This window comes from Homo sapiens, chromosome 2, assembly GCF_000001405.40.
Source record: "Homo sapiens chromosome 2, GRCh38.p14 Primary Assembly".
Taxonomy (NCBI): Eukaryota; Metazoa; Chordata; class Mammalia; order Primates; family Hominidae; genus Homo; species Homo sapiens.
In genome coordinates, this window is record NC_000002.12 from 95806361 (window position 1) to 95828940 (window position 22580).

The 22580-nt window shown below is 39.9% G+C and overlaps 1 long non-coding RNA gene across 1 annotated transcript; it reads right to left on the minus strand.

Moving 5' to 3' along the window:
* Positions 1-691: 691 nt before the first annotated feature.
* Positions 692-20621, minus strand: LINC00342 (long intergenic non-protein coding RNA 342). Its single transcript, NR_103734.1, has 3 exons — positions 17841-20621; positions 7690-7785; positions 692-942 (listed from the first exon to the last, which is right to left on the minus strand). It is a non-coding gene; the product is annotated as a long intergenic non-protein coding RNA 342 (long non-coding RNA).
* Positions 20622-22580: the final 1959 nt, after the last annotated feature.

The window sequence follows — 22580 nt, forward strand, 5'->3', positions numbered from 1 at the left end:
TTGATTTTACCATGAATCTGAATTTCTGTTATTTAATTGTTTAAATAGTTACTTTAATTTTTGTGTTAAAGATAACGCATTATAGAATATCTAATTTACTTATCACCTTCAGGAAAATCAAATAAGCATTTGTGAAGTGTCAACTATTTTCTCTGCAGTGGTGCTTTTCAAACTACCCAGAGTGAAAGACTTTTATTTTTTGTAAAATGTAAAATACTGTGGCAATGTCAGATTGCTATAAAAGGTTTTCAAATCTGTACTTCCAGGTACTTCAAAATTAGTTTGCAGATTAGTACCAGTGGTCTTAGTACAATTTGAGTAGCTACAGTAAGTAAGGAGTCGATACAAAAGAAATACAGCATATTGTCACCATCATTGGTGTAAGAATGTTCTGGGGAGGACTAGGCTTACCTATGTAACCAGTGGAAAATGCAGCATATGGTACAATTACTAAAGATAAATATAGACATAAAGAAGAGCGATGATAAAAGCTGTTCTGGATCCCAGTTAAAATCTTTGGGGTTACTGCTTAACTCTCTGGACTCACAGCCCCGACCCACCATCCCCAATGTGCAGTTTCACTCATGGAAAAAAAGTTTCTAGACCAGCAGCTGAGGATGCATTTGCTCTATGTTCAGCCCACTCAAAATACAGTTCTGTAATCAGAATACAAAAACAACCACCAACAACATCAGCCCAACTTTCTTTACTGTGTTTCATTTAATGCTGAAATCAGACAATGATTAGAACATGAAACTTTGTTTGAAAAAGTATATTCAATAAATTTTGTCTTTAAAACAGAGCTCTTGACCTATAAAGTATAAAAAGTAATTACAATGAAATATTCTTCAGTAAATCTGACACTTTGGGATTCCAGGCAAAAGGATCGCTTGGGTGCCAAGAGTTCAAGACCAGCCTGGTCAACATAGTGAGATTCTATCTCTGAAAAAAAAAAAAGAACAAAAAACAAAAGTTAAACAAATCAATAAATCTGAGATGCACTGGTATAATTCACTGGCTTGCCCAGTTGGTACTCTCTTAGCCATGGCTATTCCTGATGACTAACTGGCAGTAAAAGCCAGGAAATTATGGAGGTCTACTGAGGAGCCCCCTCTCGAAGTGAAGTTTTCCCATTATTTACACTTAAGAAAAAATTAATGTGAGATTGGATTTTAAACGTCCCCATTAAAAACAGAAGAATGGAGGGAAAAAGGTGGGTGGGGAGGGAGAGAGAGATCTGAATAAAACATTTACTTTATCATTTATCTTTTAAAATGACATGGAATGCCAATTCCAAAATCACTTAATTTTTAGAACCACTGCAATCTAAACACTGTCATCAGAAACATGCCAAGTGTTGGTTCTCTGTGGTAGGTCTCCCATCTTATATTTTCACTGTATTAAACTTGACCCTTGCATGGGTTTACCCTCCAGCCTGTGGGCCTTCACTAACTAGGACCCCATCTACCTGCATGTTTTTTGCTCTGCACTTTCTTTGCCATTCACTGGCCCCTTCTTTAGTGTTTGGTCTTCAGGTCACCACTTTCCCTTTTAGCTAATTCCATTACTCTGATTTTCTCTGTTCCTTTAGCTACCCTATCCTAGAACAACTCTCCCAGGGATGAAAATGGGGACTTCAGAATTGAGAAATGGAAGATGTTACGACAACCTTCCTATCTTATTTTTTTGGTAAACTCACTCTTTCCCTGTCTCTATCTCTCTCTCTCTCTCTCACACACACACACACACACACACACACACACACACACAGAAATTTACAGGGTAAGAGAAATTAGGAAGATAAATTTGGTGGTAGAGTCAAGAAGAGGTTGAAGAGGTGCTAATATTAAAAGAGAGATTTGAATAAAATGTTTTTAGAATTCATAGGTATTATGATATTCTATTGTAAAATGCTATTGGTTAAAATTATCTTTGTATGGGCAAACTGAGTCTCTGTCTCCAACTGTCTGTGAACAAGCTATTCAGTTCACTAAACCTCAGCACCTCATCTGTGGAATGAGCACCATAGTAGCTCCTGTCATAAAGGTTAAATGATTTTGTAAAGGACAGATTACAAAGTATATATAAAGTATTTGATTTTTTTGTTATTAAAATACTTATAATGTCTGTAATATTTTTAAAGTAAAGAGGTATAATGATTTATACTTCTCTTTATTCTAGAAACTGATTCTTAGTTGAGCTCAGAGGTTTTTCAACTTTTCTTTCAAATATTGAGATAAATAACATTGATCTATCTATTTATCTATCTATCTATTTTGAGATAGGATCCTACTTTGTCACCGAGGCTGAAGTGCAGTGGCCTTTGTCTTCCAGGCTCAGGTAGGATCCTCCTACCTCATCCTCCCAAATATCTGGGACTACCAGTGTGTGACACCACCCCCAGCTAATGTTTTTGATTTTTTTGTAGAGATGAGGTCTCACTATGCTGACAAAGCTGGTTTTGAACTCAAGCAGTCCTCGTGTCTTGGCCTCCCAAAATGCTGAGATTACAGGCATAAGCCACTGTGCCTGGCCTTTTATTTTATATAGATCACCGTCCCTTACTGAGTATCACATAACTGTTATTATAAACCTTGAATAAGAGATTACATGTTTTGGCCAGGCATGGTGGCTCATGCCTGTAATCCCAGCACTTTTGGAGGCCAAAGTGGGCAGATCACCTGAGGTCAGGAATTCGAGACCAGCCTGGCCAAAATGGTGAAACCCCATCTCTACTCAAAATACAAAAAAAAAAAAAAAAAATTAGCCAGGTATGGTGGCACATGCCTGTAGTCCCAGCTACTGGGGAGGCTGAGGCAGAAGAATTGCTTGAACTCAGAAGGCAGAAGTTGCAGTGAGCTGAGACCATCCCACTGCACTCCAGCCTGGGCAAATGAGTGAGAATCCATCTTTAAAAAAAAAAAGATTACATATTTCATACAGTATTCCAAAACCAAAAACACTATGCTTTGCTTTTCATTACCATGAATCTATAAGTTATTAAGCTTTCAGTACTGCAAATATTGTCACATATTAACAGTTTGACTTGAAAATACGTGTAATTTTTACTAAAAATAGAAAAGAAAGGCCTTGTCTTTAGAAGCTTCCAAGGAACATTATAACAGAAGTTATATTTTCCACAATTTTGGTTCAATTAATCTTATATATTGCAACTGACTTAAATAAAATTTTAATTTTTGAACACTTTAAGGTTTACAGAAACATTGTGAAAATAGTATAATATTCCTGGTAAGTACCCAAACTCTGCTTTCTCTATTACTAAAATTTTATATTAGTGTGGTGCATTCATTACAATTAAGGCATCAATATTGTTATCTTATTATTATCTAAAGACCATACTTTTTCAGAATTCCTCAGTTTTTATTTAGTTTCCATTTTCTGTTCTAGTATACATCCTAGAATCTCATATTACATTTAGTCATTGTGAGAGAGACTCCAAGTCAGTAAGTGCTGAAACAGGGTATATTAAAAAAGAACCAACATAGATTACAAGAGGAAGACTCAAAGCTTCCAGAATTATTTTCTTTCTATCTAAAATCATTTTCTATCTTTCATCCTATCAGCACTCATAAATTACACACACTCATAACCTGCCACAATTTATTGGCAGATTGTGAAGGGGGAGCAGGCATGTCACATAGTGAAAGCAGGAACAAGAGAGTGAGGGGGGAGATACCACACACTTTTAAACAACCAGATCTTGCGAGAGCTCACCTGCTATCATGAGGAGTACCAAGGAGATAGTACTAAACCATTCATGAGAAATCCACCCTCCTAATCCAGTCACCTCCCTCCAGACCCCACCTACCACACTGGGGATTACAGTTCAACATGAGATTTGGGTGGGGACACAGATCCAAACTATATCACAGGGGTTTCCCTATGTTGCTTAGGCTGGTCTCAAACTCCTGGCCTCAAGTGATCTTCCTGCCTCAACCTTCCAACGTGCTGGAATTAGAGGTATCAGCCACCATGCCCAGCCAGAAATTTCTTTCTCAAGGGGCTTTTCATCTCACTTGAAATTTTAGTTTAGGGATCTCCCAACTTACAAAGGGTTTGTGTTCCAAAATTTTGTTTCTAAGTCAGGTAGGCTCACTTTCCCACAGAAAGTGAGAAGAAGCCAGTCCCAAAGCAAGCAATAAAAGCCTGTTGCCTCACAAGTGAACTATGATGTTGCTAAATCCATCAGGAATAGTTTTACTTTTGCTCTTTGTTGAATGGGCTACTGTGGGCCTGTGGGGGCACCTAACCACCATTTATCTTATTTCTTTGAAGCAGGTCATGCTGTCACGTGTGGTCAAAAGGGAATTAGTGATGATAATGGAGCTTTCTCTGCCTCTCTCCCTCTTGACTGCCAAGGTCCAGGGAAGTTCACATCTCAGTGGTCACGGGCTGGCCAAGTAGATCCCCACCAGTTGCTGGATAATGCCTGTGAACTACTGGCTAGCATCTATTCTGAAAACCTAGCTTCTGGTTTGCTTGTTTATTCACCAGTATCTCACATAATTTTCTTATGACCATCTGGCACCTAATATAGATCCCAAAAGAGTTTAAGAGGATTTACCCTTTAGGCAAAAAATACTGGCAGTGTTTATAATCCCCTCAAAAAGAGAAAGGGAGAAAAAAAGAAAGAAGAAATGTTTTTAAAGGAAGAGATAGCACCATGTAACTATAAATAACTTTCTATATCGGACTGAAAATAAATTTTTGTTTTTTATTTTGGCTCATTTGGTAAGCTAACGAACTGGAAGAAAAGAGCTAGTTTTAACTAAACAACTCTAAAAGATGTCAGAATTTGAAAACTTAGAGTTATGAATAGATTTGATTCATTTAGCCCCAAAACTATTAAAAGTATATAAAATATTAATAGTCAATTTTCCACCAAAACCATTGAGCTACAGAATTCCAGATATCGAAATTCTAAGGAAATGTTCTGTTTTAGAATCAAATCATGTACTAGGCTGAAGTTAAATCAAATACCATTTACTGAGTATTGTTATTAGGATAAACATCTTTCCATACTTTGGTGAAATTGGAAATACTCTTGCAGAAGTGTTTTCATCTCTCACCCAGAAAAAGTAAATAATGACCTTCCTTCTTCCACTTAATGTAAAATCCTACATTTACATATATTGTGTCATCCCTTGTTTTGTGATTATTTGCTTACAGATTTTCTCTAGGTGCTCTCTAAGCAGAGAGAACAGGGTACTGGTTAAGATTGTAGATCTAGGGGATCACTGATCTAGGTCCTATTCCAAATTTGATTCCTCACCTGCTAAGCTTGCAAGTGCAACTTATTTAAATTCTCTGAAGGTTAAATGTTTCATCTAAATAGGGATAATAATAAACACCTATAGCATAGAGTTGTTTGAGATTAAATGAGATAATACATGTAAAATTATGTGCCTGGCATACAGCAAGATTGTTGTTGTTGATGATGATGATGATGATGATATTTTTCTATCCCCAGTGCACAACTGCTTGAATGTATTAGATAATCAATACATGTACATGTTTCTTGAACTGAGATCAATTTCCCCATGTTGTCTGACTGATGAAGCCCTACATTTTCTTCTAGAGGAGATGACATTTGAGCAAGATCTTAAAGAAAATCAGATGCCTTCACCTGACCACTGCTTGGTGATCCCATGGCACTTTGTACATCTCTCCATTAGCTCTCATCTCACCAGCCCATCATTATTGTATGTGCTGCCTTCTGAAGCTTGCAGCTGGCTACATCAGGTAGAATAAAATCATCCTTTCATAAAATAGTGACCTCCTTTTTTATTTGCATTTCCAAAGCCAAGCACGTGATAGGTAGACAATAAATGCTTGCTCCTGGGCTGTGCTAAAGGCATCTATAACCACTAAGCCCAAACAGTGTGGTGTCCCTTTAAAAGGAAGGAGCCAGTGTTTATATCACTTTTTCTCGACCTTCAAGGCTCCATTCAAAGCCCACCTCCAGCATGAGGCACTATCCAGTCCAATCCACAGTGATCACTCCCTTTCTGAGTCCTCCTAGGAAATCAGACACAGTCATTTGAGGTGTGTGTTAGTGATCTTCCCTCAGATGCCCAGTGAGCTCTTGTGCACAGTACCAAGGCATGTAATAGGCAGGAAACGTATTTAATTGCTTGGCTTAGTTCTAGTTTTCAATGTGTACTTCTCCATAATTATCCGATCAACCCTAACTTGAGAAGATAGGCAAACTGGATTTGCACACACTGGAGTCAATTCCTGATACCCCCGGGGGTGTGAATGAACAGAGGTCTTCTTGCTGGCTTCTGTAACAGTATCTCTCTTTAGCCAGCACCCAATTTTTGGAACCATTATGAGCACACAAAAACAGCATTTTACACAAATCAAAAAATAGCTCCCAACCATGTCTTTGTGGCATTGTTAAACAACAGTAAATTGTACTTTGAGTTCTATTTCATCTAATTAAATGAAATGAGAAGTGGGCTCAATTCCCCCAGAAAGAGACTGGAGGGAACCACAATCTTTCCTGTGATTAGATACACCACTAAGGAAATCTGACCCTGAGCAACTGAAAGCTGCCTATTCTCATTAAGAAGAGCTACAGACTGACCCTTTTCAAAGACTAGTAACTGGACACTTATTTCTTTCACAAATTATCTTCTTTTCCCTTTTTCATACCAGGAATTCTCAGGGATTATAATCCTCATCAATATAACAAGCCTCCAAAGTCATATTTTTTAACTTTGTGAAATGCCCTCCCACCTAACTACCCCATTTGACACCTGCAGCCATCCTCTAGAGAGGCAGACAAGATCGACCGTCTCACTTTACAGAAGTGCAAAGAGTAGCTGGCCTAATGCCACAGCCAATGAACAGATGAAGGAGGCCTACAACCACCTAGTCTTCCCTACTTCTCCTCACTCCTCCCCTCCGACCTCCTTACATCACCACTGACCAATGGGTCACTGTGTGGCCGTTCAGCATCTTCCTATGCTGTGTCAGGCAAGAGAACTTCTGGAAAGAGAGCATCTCATGTTTATTAAGGAGACTGGGTGTCCTTGTAGAAAGTCCTGCCATGCACAACCCCAGTCTTAACTGATGTGTTTCACCATACTGAAGGCAAGTTGCCATCTAACATAGTTGAAGGGGAGCCAGTTGTGGTGATCTTTGTTCCTGCTGAAAGATGGAAAGAAAATGAGGAAATGAGCTCATTTTCAAAGAAAATGAACATTCTTTCATATGAAAGAAATAGGAGCAAAGTGACAGGAGGGAAACAAAGCTTAGGGTTGGTGTGAGATACACAGGGTGTTAGCCCCACAAACAGTGCTGCTGGGCCAAGTTAATTCCCTGTTTTTCCCTATATATGTGGTGTGGAAAAGCTATTTATAAAATGTGTTTAAATATTTAGGACCAAATAAATCAACATTGTTGGGAAACATTGACTCTGACCAGAACTCATTTCCTTGCCCTAGTCCAATGTGAATAACAAAATGAAGAATATCAGGATGATTTGAGACCAGGAATACTACAGATGTCCAACACTTCCACCTGGAATCCCCAAAGAGGCCCGCTTTTAGCCTCCACACTGGTTGGTGACCTGGCATGAGAGAAATGACAGAAATCTCAGAAGACTGGCCTCATGAATAATCTTCAGTATCAATGGAACAAAGCAAGCCTTCTAGAAATTACCTGACTCTGCAGTTCACTCTGCTGCTTCAGATGAAAATTTTCAGGTCTGTCTGCCACTGTAGTGAAGGACTGCTTTGGGTAGTGTCTGTGGAGAAACTTTTTAAAGGACATAGTTAAAATATTGTGCTACAAACCAATTCTTGAACACCAATCGTTTTGTCCTACCTCTCTGTGACAGTGAAAGATGGCTGTGCTCTTGGCAAAGGTCATCTCTCTGTCATGATTCTGGATCTCCTTTTCTTCTCCTGATTATCTGTCACTCAGTTATCCCCACTGTCTTCCACAACTTTAACCTCAGCTTCTCTATTCTAGGAGACTCTTCTCGCAGGCTCAAGGCTCTCCTACCCTCCATCATTCCTCCCTCTACCCCACACAGCCAGCATGTGTCCAGCTAGTCTATCCTTCAGCCAAACTTCCTTAGAAAGAGGCCTTACCTCACTGTCCCTACCCATCTCCTCTCTGACTCACTTCTTAACTCCATGACTGGGTTCTGGTTTCTTTCCCTTGCCTGTTGTGACTTCCTATGGACACAGCCAAAAACCATCACATAGTCCTGTTGTATGGCATCCCCTCCATCTTGAAATGTCCTCTCCCTCAGTTCCTATATGTTATCACACATGCCTGCCTTGGCTTCTCCCTCTAGTTGTTCCTTCTCTGTCTTCTGTGGGCTTCTTATTGTCTGCTCACTCCTTCTTCAGTGTCCTCACATGGGCTTCCTTCCCTTCTCAGCTGATGCCATCACCTGGGGAATCACAGTTACTCAGCAGCACTGGGGCCTCTCTATCTCTATGCTGGTCATGCCTATGTGTGAGCTGCAGACCCAGTGGAATTTCCATTTGTGCATCCCATGCCCAGCCCACCCTCCACCAGTCTCGAATGCAGCTGTTCAGCCCTACCCCAGTCCTCAGAAAAGTTCCTCTCCCTGGATCCTCTTTTTCCTTCTTGAGTGCCCGGTTGCCCAAGTCAAAAACCTGGGAGTGATATAAACTCCCCACACATCCAGTCAGTCACTCATCAACTCTATTGATTCTGTCTGCTAAATGTATCTCAATTGTATTAACTTAAACATATGCATATATCTTCTTCTTCACTGCATTTTTGTGGGCTGCACTTACCTTTCAGGTAACAACAACACTGGCCCCTCTCGCACTTCTAGTCGGAAGTGCCAAAATGATGAGAGCTAGCCATGGCAAACCCACAGCCAACATTACACTGAATGTGCAAAACTGGAAGGGCATCCAAATAGAGGAGGGAAGAGAGGAATAGACAGGAAGTCAAACTGTCTCTGTTTACAGATGACATGATTCTATATCTAGAAAACCCCATAGTCTTAGCCCCAAAGCTCCTTCTGCTGATAAACTTTAGCAAAGTCTTAGCATACAAAATCAATGTGCAAAAATTCCTAGCAGTAAAGCAGAGAGTCAAATGAAGAACATAATCCCATTCATAATTGCTACACACAGAAAAAATAAAATACCTAGGAATACAGCTAACCAGGGAGGTGAAAGATCTCTAAGAGATCTCTAGGAGAATTACAAAACACTGCTCAAAGAAATCAGAGAAGACACAAACAAATGGAAAAACATTTCATGCTCATGGATAGGAAGAATTAACATCATTAAAATGGCTATACTGCCCAAAGTAATTTACAGATGCAAGTTATCCCTATTAAATTACCAATGGCATTCCTCACAGAACTAGAGCAAACTATTTCAAAATTCATATGGAACCAAAAAAAAAAAGAGCCCTAATAGCCAAGCAATCCTCAGCAAAAAGAACAAAGCTGGAGGCATCATGTTACCCAACTTCAAACTATACTACAGGGCTACAGTAACCAAAACAGCATGATACTGGTACAAAAACAGCTCATCACTTTGAGCTATGTTTCCTCAATACCCAGATTTTTTAGAGTTTTTAATATGGAGAGGCCTTGAATTTTATTGAAAGCCTTTTCTGCATATATTGAGATAATCACATGGTTTTTATCTTTAGTTTTGTTTATGGGATGAATCAGATTAATTGACGTGTATGTTGAGGCAACCTTGCATCCTGGGGATGAAGCATACTTGATCATGATGGATTAACTTTTTGATGTGCTGCTGGATTTGGTTTGCCCGTATTTTGTTGAGGATTTTTGCATTGATGTTCATCAAGGGTATTGGCCTGAAGTTTGTGTGTGTGTGTGTGTGTGTGTGTGTGTGTGTGTGTGTGTGCCAGATTTTGGTATCAAGATGATGTTGGCCTCATAGAATGAGTTGGGGAGGAGTTCCTCCTCCTCAATATTTTCAAATAGTTCCTGTAAAAATGGTACCAGCTCTTCTTTGTACTTCTAGTAGAATATGGCTGGGAATCCATCATGTTCTGGGCTTTTTTTGATTGGTAGGTTATTTATTACTGATTCAATTTCGGAGCTTGTTATTGGTCTGTTCAGCAAATCAATTTCTTCCTGGCTCAGTTGTGGGAGGGTGTATTTGTCCAGGAATTTATCCATCTCTTTGAAGTTTTCTAGTTTGTATGCACAGAAGTGTTTGCAGTAGTTTCTGATGGTTGTTTCTATTTCTGTGGGGTCAGTGGTAATTACATTCCCTTTGTCATTTCTAATTGTGTTTATTTCAATCATCCTCTGTATTAGTCTGCTAGCAGACTTTCTTATTAATATTTTCAAGAAACCTACCCTGAATTCGTAGATCTTTTGAATTTTTTTTTCTTCATGTCTCGGTTTCTTTGAATTCAGCTCGGATTTTCAGTTATTTCTTGTCTTCCTCTAGCTTTGGGGTTTTGTCTTGCTTCTCTAGTTCTTTCCGTTGTGATGTTAGGTTATTAATTTGAGTTCTTCCTAACTTTTTGATGTGGGATTTAGTGCTATAAATTTCCCTCCTAACATTGCCTTAGCTATGTCCAGAGGCTCTAGTATGTTGCAACTTTGTTCTCATTATTTTCAAAGAACTTCTTGTTTTCTGCCTTAATTTCATTATTTATTAAAAAGTCATTCAGGAGCATGTTGATTGATTTCCATGTAATTGCATGATTTTCAGCAATTTTCTTAGTCTTCTATTTTTACTGCACTGTGATCTCAGTGTGTATTTGGTATGAGTTCAGTTGTTTTGCATTTGCTGAGGATTGCTTTATGTCCAATTATGTGGTTGATTTTAGAGTATGTGGCATATGATGATGTGAGGAATGCATATTCTGTTGTTTTTGAGTGCAGAGTTCTGTAAAGGTCTATCAGATCCATTTGATCCAATGTTGAGTTCAGGTCCTGAATATCTTTGTTCATTTTTTTGCCTCAATGATCTAATACTGTCATTGGAGTGTGAAAGTCTCCCACTATTACTGTGAAACATACTTTGTAGGTCTCTAAGAACTTTACTTATGAATCTGGGTGCTCCTGTGTTGGATGAATATATATTTAGGATAGTTAGGTCTTCTTGTTGAATTGAAGCCTTTGCCATTATGTAATATCCTTCTTTGTCTTTTCTATTTTATTTTAAGTTCCAGGATACATGTACAGGATGTGCAGGTTTGTTACATAGTTAAACATGTGCCATGGTGGTTTGCTGCACCTATCAACCTATCACCTAGGTATTAAGCCCCACATGCATTAGCTATTTATCTTGATGCTCTCCTTCCCCCTACCTTCCCAACAGGCTCCGGTGTGTGTTCTGCCCCTCCGTGTCCATGTGTTCTCATTGTTCAGTTCCCACTTATGAGAACATGTGGTGTTTGGTTTCCTGTTCCTGTGTTAATTGGCTGAAGTTTATGGCTTCCAGCTTCATCCATGTCCCTGCAAAAGACAGGATCTCATTCCTTTTTATGGCTGCATAGTATTCCATGGTGCATATGTATCACATTTTCTTTATCCAATCTATCATTGATAGAAATTTGGGTTGATGCCATGTCTTTGCTATTGTGAATAGTGCTGCAATAAACATAAGTGTGCATGTATCTTTAAAATAGAATGATTTAGATTTCTTTGGATATAAACCTAGTAATGGGATTGCTGGGTCAAATGGTATTTCTGCTTCTAGATCCTTCAGGAATTGCCACACTGTCTTCCACAATGGTTGAACTAGTTTACGTTCCCAACAGTATAAAAGTGTTCCTGTTTCTCCATAGCCTCTCTAGCATCTGTTGTTTCTTGACTTTTTAATAATTGCCATTCTGACTGGCATGAGATGGTATCTCATTGTGGTTTTGATTTGCATTTCTCTAATAAACACTGATGTTGAGCTTTTTTTTTTTCATATGTTTGTTGGACGCATAAATGTCTTCTTTTCAGAATGTCTGTTCATGGCCTTTGCCCACATTTTGATGGGGTTATTATTTTCTTGTAAATTTGTTTAAGTTCCTTGTAGATTCTGGATATTAGACCTTTGTCAGATTGGTAGATGGCAAAAATATTCTCCCATTCTATAGGTTGCTTGTTCACTCTGATGATAGTTTCTTTCCCTGTGCAGAAGTGCTTACGTTTAATTAGATCCCATTTGTCAATTTTTGCTTTTGTTGCAATTGCTATTGATGATTTCATCATAAAATCTTTGCCTATGCCTATGTCCTGAATGGAACTTCCTAGATTTTCTTCTAGGGTTTTTTACGGTTTGGGGTTTTACATTTAAGTTTTTAATCCATCTTGAGTTAATTTTTGCATAAGGTGTAAGGATGAGGTCCAGTTTCAGTTTTCTGCATATGGCTAGTCAGTTTTCCCAGCACCATTTAAATAGGGAATCCTGGCCAAGTGCGGTGGCTCACATCTATAATCTCAGCACTTTGGGAGGCTGATATGGGTGGATCTTGAGGTCAAGAGATCAAGACCATCCTGGCCAACATGGTGAAATCCCGTCTCTACTAAAAATACAAAAACTAGCTGGGCGTGGTGGCTCGAACCTGTAGTCCCAGCTACTCGGGAGACTGAGGCAGGAGAATCACTTGAATCCGGGAGGCAGAGGTTGCAATGAACTGAGATCATGCCACTGCACTCCAGCCTGGTGACAGAGTGAGACTTTGTCTCAAAATAAATAAATGAATAAATAGGTATTCCTTCCCCTATTGCTTGTTTTTGTCAGGTTTGTCAAAGATCAGATGGTTGTAGATGTGTGGTCTTATTTCTGAGATCTCTATTCTGTTCCATTGGTCTGTGTGTCTGTTTTGGTATCAGTACCATGCTGTTTTGATTAGTGTGGCCTTGCAGTATAGTTTGAAGTCATATAGCATGATGCCTCCAGCTTTGTTCTTTTTGCTTAGGATTGTCTTGACTATTGAGTCTCTTTTTTGGTTGCATATGAAATTTAAAGTAGTTTTTTTTTTAATTCTGTGAAGAATGTCAATGGTAGTTTGATGTGAATAGCACTGAATCTATAAATTACTTTGGGCAGTATGGCCATTTTCATGAGACTGATTCTTCCCACCCATGAGCATGGAATATTTTTCCATTTGTTTGTGTCCTCTCTTATTTCTTTGAGCAGTGGCTTGTAGTTCTCCTTGAAGAGGTTCTTCACACCCATCATTAGCTGTATTCCTAGGTATTTTATTCTCTTTGTAACAATTGTGAATGGGAGTTCATTCATGATTTGGCTCTCTTGTCTATTATTGGTGTATAGGAATTGAAGAATATTGTCTATTGCTGGTGTATAAGAATGCTTGTGATTTTTGCACATTGATTTTGTATCCTCAGACTTTGCTGAACTTGCTTATCAGCTTAAGGAGTTTTTGGGCTGTGACAATGTGGTTTTCTAGATATAGAATCACGTTTTCTGCAAACAGAGACAATTTGATTTTATCTCTTGCTATTTGAACACGTTTTATTTCTTGTTTTTTTTTTTTTGAAGGGTTTTTCATGTCTCTGTCTCCTTCAGTTCCACTTTGATCTTAGTCATTTTTTTTTTCTCTTCTGCTAGCTTTTGGATTTGTTTGCTCTTGCTTCTCTAGTTCTTTTAGTTGTGATGTTAGGGTATTGATTTGAGATATTTCTAGCTTTATGATGCGGGCATTTAGTGCTATAAATTTACCTCTTAACACTGCTTTAGTTGCCTCCCAGAGATTCTGGTACATTGTCTCTTTGTTCTCATTGGTTTCAAAGAACTTCTTGATTTCTGCCTTAATTTTATTATTTACCCAGAAGTCACTCAGGAGCAGGTTGTTCAATTTCCATGTAGTTGTGTGGTTTTGAGTGAGTTTCTTAATCTTGAGTTCTAATTTGATTGCACTGTGGTCTGAGAGATTGTTATGATTTCAGTTATTTTGCATTTGCTGAGGAGTGTTTTAATTCTAATTTTGTGATCAACTTTAGAGTGTCATATGCCACTGAGAATAATATATAGTCTGTTGTTTTGTGTTGGAGAGTTCTGTAGATATCTATGAGATTCACTTGATCCAGAGCTGTGTTCCAGTCCTTTCTTGTTAATTTTCTGTCTAGATGATCCAATATTTACAATGGGGTGTTAATGTCTCCGACTATTGTTGTATGGGAGCCTGAGTCTCTTTGTAGGTCTCTAAAGACTTGTTTTATGAATCTGGGTTCTCCTGTATTGGGTGCATACATATTTAGGATAGTTAGCTCTTCTTGTTGAATTGATTCCTTTATCATTGTGTGATGCTATTCTTTGTCTTTTTTTTATCTTTGTTGATTCAAAGTCTGTTTTGTCAGAAACTAGGATTGCAACCCCTGCTTATTTCTGCTTTCCATTTGCTTGGTAAATTTTCCTCCATCCCTTTGAGCCTACGTGTGTCTTTCCACATGAGATAGGAACCCTGAATACAGCACACCTGAATCTTGACTCTTTATATCCAAATTGCTGGTCTGTGTCTTTTAATTGGTACATTTAGCCCATTGACACTTAAGGTTAATATTGTTATGCGTGGATTTGATCCTGTCACCATGATGCTAGCTGGTTATTTTGCTCACTAGTTGCTGCAGTTTCTTCATAGTGTCATTGGTCTTTGTACTTCAGTACATTTTTGCAGTGGCTGGTACCAGTTTTTCCTTTCCATCTTTTTTTTTTATTATACTTTAAGTTTTAGGGTACATGTGCACATTGTGCAGGTTAGTTACATATGTATACATGTGCCATGCTGGTGTGCTGCACCCACTAACTCGTCATCTACCATTAGGTATATCTCCCAATGCTATACCTCCCCCCTACCCCCACCCCACCACAGTCCCCAGAGTGTGATATTCCCCTTCCTGTGTCCATGTGATCTCATTGTTCAGTTCCCACCTATGAGTGAGAATATGTGGTGTTTGGTTTTTTGTTCTTACGATAGTTTACTGAGAATGATGATTTCCAATTTCATCCATGTCCCTACAAAGGACATGAACTCATCATTTTTTATGGCTGCATAGTATTCCATGGTGTATATGTGCCACATTTTCTTAATCCAGTCTATCATTGTTGGACATTTGGGTTGGTTCCAAGTCTTTGCTATTGTGAATAATGCCGCAATAAACATACGTGTGCATGTGTCTTTATAGCAGCATGATTTATAGTCCTTTGGGTATATACCCAGTAATGGGATGGCTGGGTCAAATGGTATTTCTAGTTCTAGATCCCTGAGGAATCACCACACTGACTTCCACAAGGGTTGAACTAGTTTACAGTCCCACCAACAGTGTAAAAGTGTTCCTATTTCTCCACATCCTCTCCAGCACCTGTTGTTTCCTGACTTTTTAATGATTGCCATTCTAACTGGTTTGAGATGGTATCTCATTGTGGTTTTGATTTGCATTTCTCTGATGGCCAGTGATGATGAGCATTTTTTCATGTGTTTTTTGGCTGCATAAATGTCTTCTTTTGAGAAGTGTCTGTTCATGTCCTTCGCCCACTTTTTGATGGGGTTGTTTGTTTTTTTCTTGTAAATTTGTTTGAGTTCATTGTAGATTCTGGATATTAGCCTTTTGTCAGATGAGTAGGTTGCGAAAATTTTCTCCCATTTTGTAAGTTGCCTGTTCACTCTGATGGTAGTTTCTTTTGCTGTGCAGAAGCTCTTTAGTTTACTTAGATCCCATTTGTCAATTTTGTCTTTTGTTGCCATTGCTTTTGGTGTTTTGGACATGAAGTCATTGCCCATGCCTATGTCCTGAATGGTAATGCCTAGGTTTTCTTCTAGGGTTTTTATGGTTTTAGGTCTAACGTTTAAGTCTTTAATCCATCTTGAATTGATTTTTGTATAAGGTGTAAGGAAGGGATCCAGTTTCAGCTTTCTACATATGGCTAGCCAGTTTTCCCAGCACCATTTATTAAATAGGGAATCCTTTCCCCATTGCTTTTTTTTCTCAGGTTTGTCAAAGATCAGATAGTTGTAGATATGCAGCGTTATTTCTGGGGCTCTGTTCTGTTCCATTGATCTATATCTCTGTTTTGGTACCGGTACCATGCTGTTTTGGTTACTGTAGCCTTGTAGTATAGTTTGAAGTCAGGTAGTGTGATGCCTCCAGCTTTGTTCTTTTGGCTTAGGATTGCCTTGGCGATGTGGGCTCTTTTTTGGTTCCATATGAACTTTAAAGTAGTTTTTTCCAATTCTGTGAAGAAAGTCATTGGTAGCTTGATGGGGATGGCATTGAATCTGTAAATTACCTTGGGCAGTATGGCCATTTTCACGATATTGATTCTTCCTACCCATGAGCATGGAATATTCTTCCATTTGTTTGTATCCTCTTTTATTTCCTTGAGCAGTGGTTTGTAGTTCTCCTTGAAGAGGTCCTTCACATCCCTGGTAAGTTGGATTCCTAGGTATTTTATTCTATTTGAAGCAATTGTGAATGGGAGTTCACTCATGATTTGGCTCTCTGTTTGTCTGTTGGTGTATAAGAATGCTTGTGATTTTTGTACATTGATTTTGTATCCTGAGACTTTGCTGAAGTTGCTTATCAGCTTAAGGAGATTTTGGGCTGAGACAATGGGGTTTTCTAGATATACAATCATGTCATCTGCAAACAGGGACAATTTGACTTCCTCTTTTCCTAATTGAATACCCTTTATTTCCTTCTCCTGCCTAATTGCCCTGGCCAGAACTTCCAACACTGTTGAATAGGAGTGGTGAGAGAGGGCATCCCTGTCTTGTGCCAGTTTTCAAAGGGAATGCTTCCAGTTTTTTCCCATTCAGTATGATATTGGCTGTGGGTTTGTCATAGATAGCTCTTATTATTTTGAAATACGTCCCATCAATACCTAATTTATTGAGAGTTTTTAGCATGAAGGGTTGTTGAATTTTGTCAAAGGCTTTTTCTGCATCTATTGAGATAATCATGTGGTTTTTGTCTTTGGCTCTGTTTATATGCTGGATTACATTTATTGATTTGCGTATATTGAACCAGCCTTGCATCCCAAGGATGAAGCCCACTTGATCATGGTGGATAAGCTTTTTGATGTGCTGCTGGATTCGTTTTGCCAGTATTTTATTGAGGATTTTTGCATCAATGTTCATCAAGGATATTGGTCTAAAATTCTCTTTTTTGGTTGTGTCTCTGCCCAGCTTTGGTATCAGAATGATGCTGGCTACATGGAAACTGAACAACCTGCTCCTGAATAGTCATTCAGGATACATAACGAAATGAAGGCAGAAATAAAGATGTTCTTTGAAACCAACGAGAACAAAGACACAACATACCAGAATCTCTGGGATGCATTCAAAGCAGTGTGTAGAGGGAAATTTTTAGCACTAAATGCCCACAAGAGAAAGCAGGAAAGATCCAAAATTGACACCCTAACATCACAATTAAAAGAACTAGAAAAGCAAGAGCGAACACATTCAAAAGCTAGCAGAAGGCAAGAAATAACTAAAATCAGAGCAGAACTGAAGGAAATAGAGACACAAAAAACCCTTCAAAAAATTAATGAATCCAGGAGCTGGTTTTTTGAAAGGATCAACAAAATTGATAGACCACTAGCAAGACTAATAAAGAAAAAAAGAGAGAAGAATCAAATAGACACAGTAAAAAATGATAAAGGGGATATCACCACCGATCCCACAGAAATACAAACTACCATCAGAGAATACTACAAACACCTCTACACAATTAAACTAGAAAATCTAGAAGAAATGGATAAATTCCTCGACACATACACTCTCCCAAGACTAAACCAGGAAGAAGTTGAATCTCTGAATAGACCAATAACAGGAGCTGAAATTGTGGCAATAATCAATAGTTTACCAACCAAAAAGAGTCCAGGACCAGATGGATTCACAGCCGAATTCTACCAGAGGTACAAGGAGGAACTGGTACCATTCCTTCTGAAACTATTCCAATCAATAGAAAAAGAGGAAATCCTCCCTAACTCATTTTATGAGGCCAGCATCATTCTGATTCCTTTCCATCTTTAGTGCTTCCTTCAGGAGGTCTTGCAAGGCAGGCCTGGTGGTGATAAATTCCCTCAGCATTTGCTTGTCTGAGAAGGATTTCTCCTTCACTTATGAAGGTTAGTTTGGCCAGATATGAAATTCTAGGTTAGAAATTCTTTTCTCTAAGAATGTTGACCATTGGACCCAACTGTCTTCTGGCTTGTAGGGTTTCTGCTGAGAGGCCCACGGTTAGTCTGACGGGCTTCCCCTTGTAGGTGACCTGCCCTTGTCTCTGGCTGCCTTTAACATTTTTTCCTTCATTTTGATCTTGGAGAATCTGATGACTATGTGTCTTGAGGGTTGATTTTCTTGTGGAGTATCTTACTGGGGTTCTCTGGATTTCCTGAATTTGAATGTTGGCCTGTCTTGCTAGGTTGGGGAAGTTCTCCTGGATGATATCTTGAAGTGTGTTTTCCCAACGTGGCTCCATTCTCCTTGTCTCTTTCAGGTAGTCCAAGCAGTCATAGGTTTGGTCTTTTACATAGTTCCACAGTTCTTTGAGGTTTTGTTCATTCCTTTTCATTCTTTTTTCTCTAATCTTGTCTGCCTGCCTTATTTTGGCAAGATAGTCTTCAAGCTCTGATATTCTTTTTTCTGCTTGATCAATTCAGCTGTTGATACTTGTGTTTGCATCACGAAGTTCCCCTTATGTGCTTTATAGTTGGCTCCGGTCATTTATGTTCCTCTCTAAACTGGTTATTCTAGTTAGCATCTTCTGTAACCTTTTAACATGGTTCTTAGCTTCTTTGCTGACAGAAGTAGGGTTCAGAAGGTGGGTAATAACAAATTTCACAGAGCTAAAGGAGCATGTTCTAACCCAATGCATTGATTTCTCCACCTCCCTTTCAGGGATGCCAGTGATTTGTAGAATTGGCCTCTATACATAACCCCATACTTATTGGAGGTTTTGTTCCTTCCGTTTTATTCTTTTTTATTTTTGTCTGTCTTATTTTAGAGAACCAATCTTTAAGTTCTGGGATTCGTTCCAATGTGTTGGGTTAGAACGTGCTCCTTTAGCTCAGTGAAGTTTGCTACTACCCACCTTCTGAAGCCTACTTCTGTCAATTCATCCATCTCAACCTCCTCCCAGCACTGTGCCCTTGCTGTAGAGGTGTTGTGATCATTTGGAGTAAACAAGCCACTCTGGCCTTTTGAGTTGTGAGGGGTTTTTCATTCCTTTCTCATCTTCATGAGTTTGTCTCATTTTGATCTTTGAGGCTGCTGACCTTTAGATGAGGTTTTCGTGGGGACTTTTTGGTTGATGTTGTTGTTGCTTTCTGTTTTCCTTTGAACAGTCAGGCACCTCTTCTGTAGGGCTGCTGCAGTTTGCTGGGGATTCACTTCAAGCCCTACTTATCTGGGTCCCTCCCACACCTGAAGATGTCACCAGAGAGTGCTGGAGAACAGCAAAGATGAGACCCCACTCCTTCCTCTGGGATCTCTGTCCTTGAGGGGCACCCACCTGATGCCAGTAGAAATGCTCTTGTATAAGGTGTCTGGTGACCCATTGGGGTGTCTCACCCAGTTGGGGGGCACAGGATCCAGGACTTGCTTAATGAAGCACTTTAGTTGTCCCTTTGTGAAGGGGGTATGCTGTGCTGGGGGAAATCCCACTCGTCTGGGATGCCTGGATTCCTCAGAGTGAGCAGGGGGAAAGAATAAGTCTTCTGGTTTGTGGAGACAACAGCCAGCCACCCCTCCTGCTAGGGACTCAGACTTAGAGAGATCAGAGTTCTCTCCCTAATTCCCTGGCTTGAGTTGCTGGAGTTCCTGCAGGGATGCCCCACCCAGTGAGGAGGGATGGGTGAGGGTCAGCCTAAAGAGGCAGTCTGGCCATGATCTGCCACAGCCAGTATGCTGCGCTGTGGGGAATACCTCTTGGGACCAAGCCGTCCAGTCTCCCTGGCATCAGCAAAGGAAAAACAGCAGCCTGGCTCTGTAGAAATGGCTGCCGCCCTTCCTCCCCAGGAGTTCAGTGTCTTAGGCAGCTAGCAGCCACAGTGATGGCTGCTGTCCCTTCTTGGGGAGCTCAGTTTCCTCAGGCAGCAGGCAGCTGCAGTGATGATGACTGCCCCTCTCTTGGGAAGCTCAGTTGTCTTAGGCAGCCAGCAACCACAGTGATGACTGCTCCCCCTCCCCCAGGGAACTCAGAGGGTTTAGGCAGCAGGCAGCCACAGTGATGATGACAACCCTCCCCAACTTTTTAGGCAGACTCCAGCTGAGTGGCTGTTGAGAATCTGCATGGCTCTGTAGTTGGCACCCAAGGCCCTGGTGGTGTGGTCTCATGAGTGGGATCTTCTGATCTGTGGATTGCAAAGATCCATGGAAAAAGCAGTTTCCCAGGCTGGGTAGCATGCTCACTCACTGCCTCCCTTGGCTGGCTGAGGGTGAGGGCTCCCCTTGCCCCATGTGGCTCCCAGGTGGGCCAATCCACCAGCCCATCTTTCCTTGTTCTCTATGGGCCATGCCAACTACCTAGTCAGTCCTGATCATAGAACCTGGATATGTCAGTTGCTGGTGCAGGATTTGCACACTGTTTTAGTTCTTCTCAGTGGGAGCCTCGAATTGCAGCTGCTTCTAGTTGGCTATCTTGCCCCTGCCCCCTTGTCTTTTTGAAAAATTATTGTTCATTTGAAATCTGTTTTGTCTGAAATTAGGATTGCAACCTCTGCTTTTTTTCTGTTTTCTATTTGTCTGGTAGATTTTCCTCCATCCTTTTAGTTTGAGACGATGAGTGTCATTATGTGTGAGATGGGTCTCTTGAAGACGACATACCATTGGGTCTCGCTTTTTTTTTTTTTTAATCTAGCTTGCCACTCTGCCTTTTAAGTGGGGCATTTGTCCATTTACTTTCAAGGTTAGTATTGATTTGTGTAGATTTGATCTTGTCATTGTGCTGTTGGCTGGTTATTATGTTGGCTTGTTTGTGTGGTTGCTTTATAGTGTCACTGGTCTGTGTGTTTAAGTATGTTTTTGTATTAGTGTGTAGTGGTCTTTCCTTTCTATATTTAGTCCTCCTTTCTAAAATCTCTTGTAAGGCAGATGTGGTGGTAATGAATTACCTCAGAATTTGCTTGTCTGTAAATGATCTCATTTCTCCTTCATTTAGGAAGCTTAGTTTAGCTGGATATGAAATTCTTGGTTGAAGATTTTCTTTAATAATGTTAAATATAGTCCCCCAATCCCTTCTGGCTTGTAGGATTTCAGCTGAGAGATCTGCTGTTAGCCTCATGGGGTTCCCTTTGTAGATGGCCTGCCCCTTTCTCTCTGGCTGCCTTTAACATTCTTTCCCTCATTTTGACCTTGGAAAACCTGATGTTTATGTGTCTTGAGGATGGTCTTGTGTAGAATCTTGTAGGAGTTCTTTGTATTTCCTGAATTTGACTGTTGGCCTTTCCAGCAAGGTTAGGGAAGCTTTCATAGATGATATCCTGAAATGTTTTCCAAGTTATTTGATTTCTCCACCTCCCTTTCAGAGATGCCAGTGATTTGTAGAATTGGCTTCTTTATATAATCCCATGCTCCTTGAAGGTTTTGTTCATTCTTTTTTATTTTTGTCCATCTTATTTTAGAGAACCAATCTTCAAGTTCTGAGATTCATTCCTCAGATTGGTTTTTTCTGCTGTTAATACTTGTGATTGCATTGTGAAATTCTTGTATTGTGTTATTTGGCGCTTTCAGATCAGTTAGTTTCTTTTTTTATTATACCAGCTACTTTGTCCTTCAGCTCCTATAACACTTTATTGTTATTCTTATTTTCCTTGGATTGGGTTCTGCCATTGTCCTGAGTCTTGATGATTTTTTTTCCTATCCATATTCTCAATTATATTTATGTAATTCCAGACAGTTCATCCAGGTTAAGAACTCTTGTTGGAGAACTGGTGTGGTTGTTTGAAGGACATATGACACAGAGGCCATTTGAGTTACTGGAGTTCTTGCATTGGTTTCTTCTCATTTCCACCTATGGGTTTTCCTTTAATTGCAGTGTAGATTGAGTACAGTCCGTAGACTTATTTTCAGATGTTTTCACCAGGCTGAGGCTTTGTGCAGGTTCTTTATTTGAAGCTGACTTCTCATTTCTGGTTTCAGAGGGGAGTATATTAGTAAGGTATTTTTGGTGCTGAAGCTTTGGGATGTGATCCAGTAGGTGGCACTTGGGCTTACTGGTCAGTTGGTAGAGTCTTGCTTGGTCATGTGGCTCCCCTATGTTTCCTCACAGTTGCAGCCATGTTCACTCTCAATGATCTGAAAATGTGCTTCTCTCCTCCTTGAGTGCTGGCTGTAGATCATGGCTTGGCACTCCTAGGCTGCCCACTGCAGCTCTGGGGCAATCTCAGTGTTTATATTTCTTCCCTAACTTTGGGGAAGAAGAGGAAGGGACATTAGTAGTGGTTGTAGCCAAGGGTCTTTTGTTTGTCTCCTCAGGGTTCTACCCCCGGAGAATACAGGTCAGCAACTGTTTATTGCAATCAGCAAGCAGGATGGAGAATTCATGCTGTGGGGGCCAATCCAGGGGTTCCCTGTCTGTTATGAGCAGTGGGGAGTGTGTAAAACCC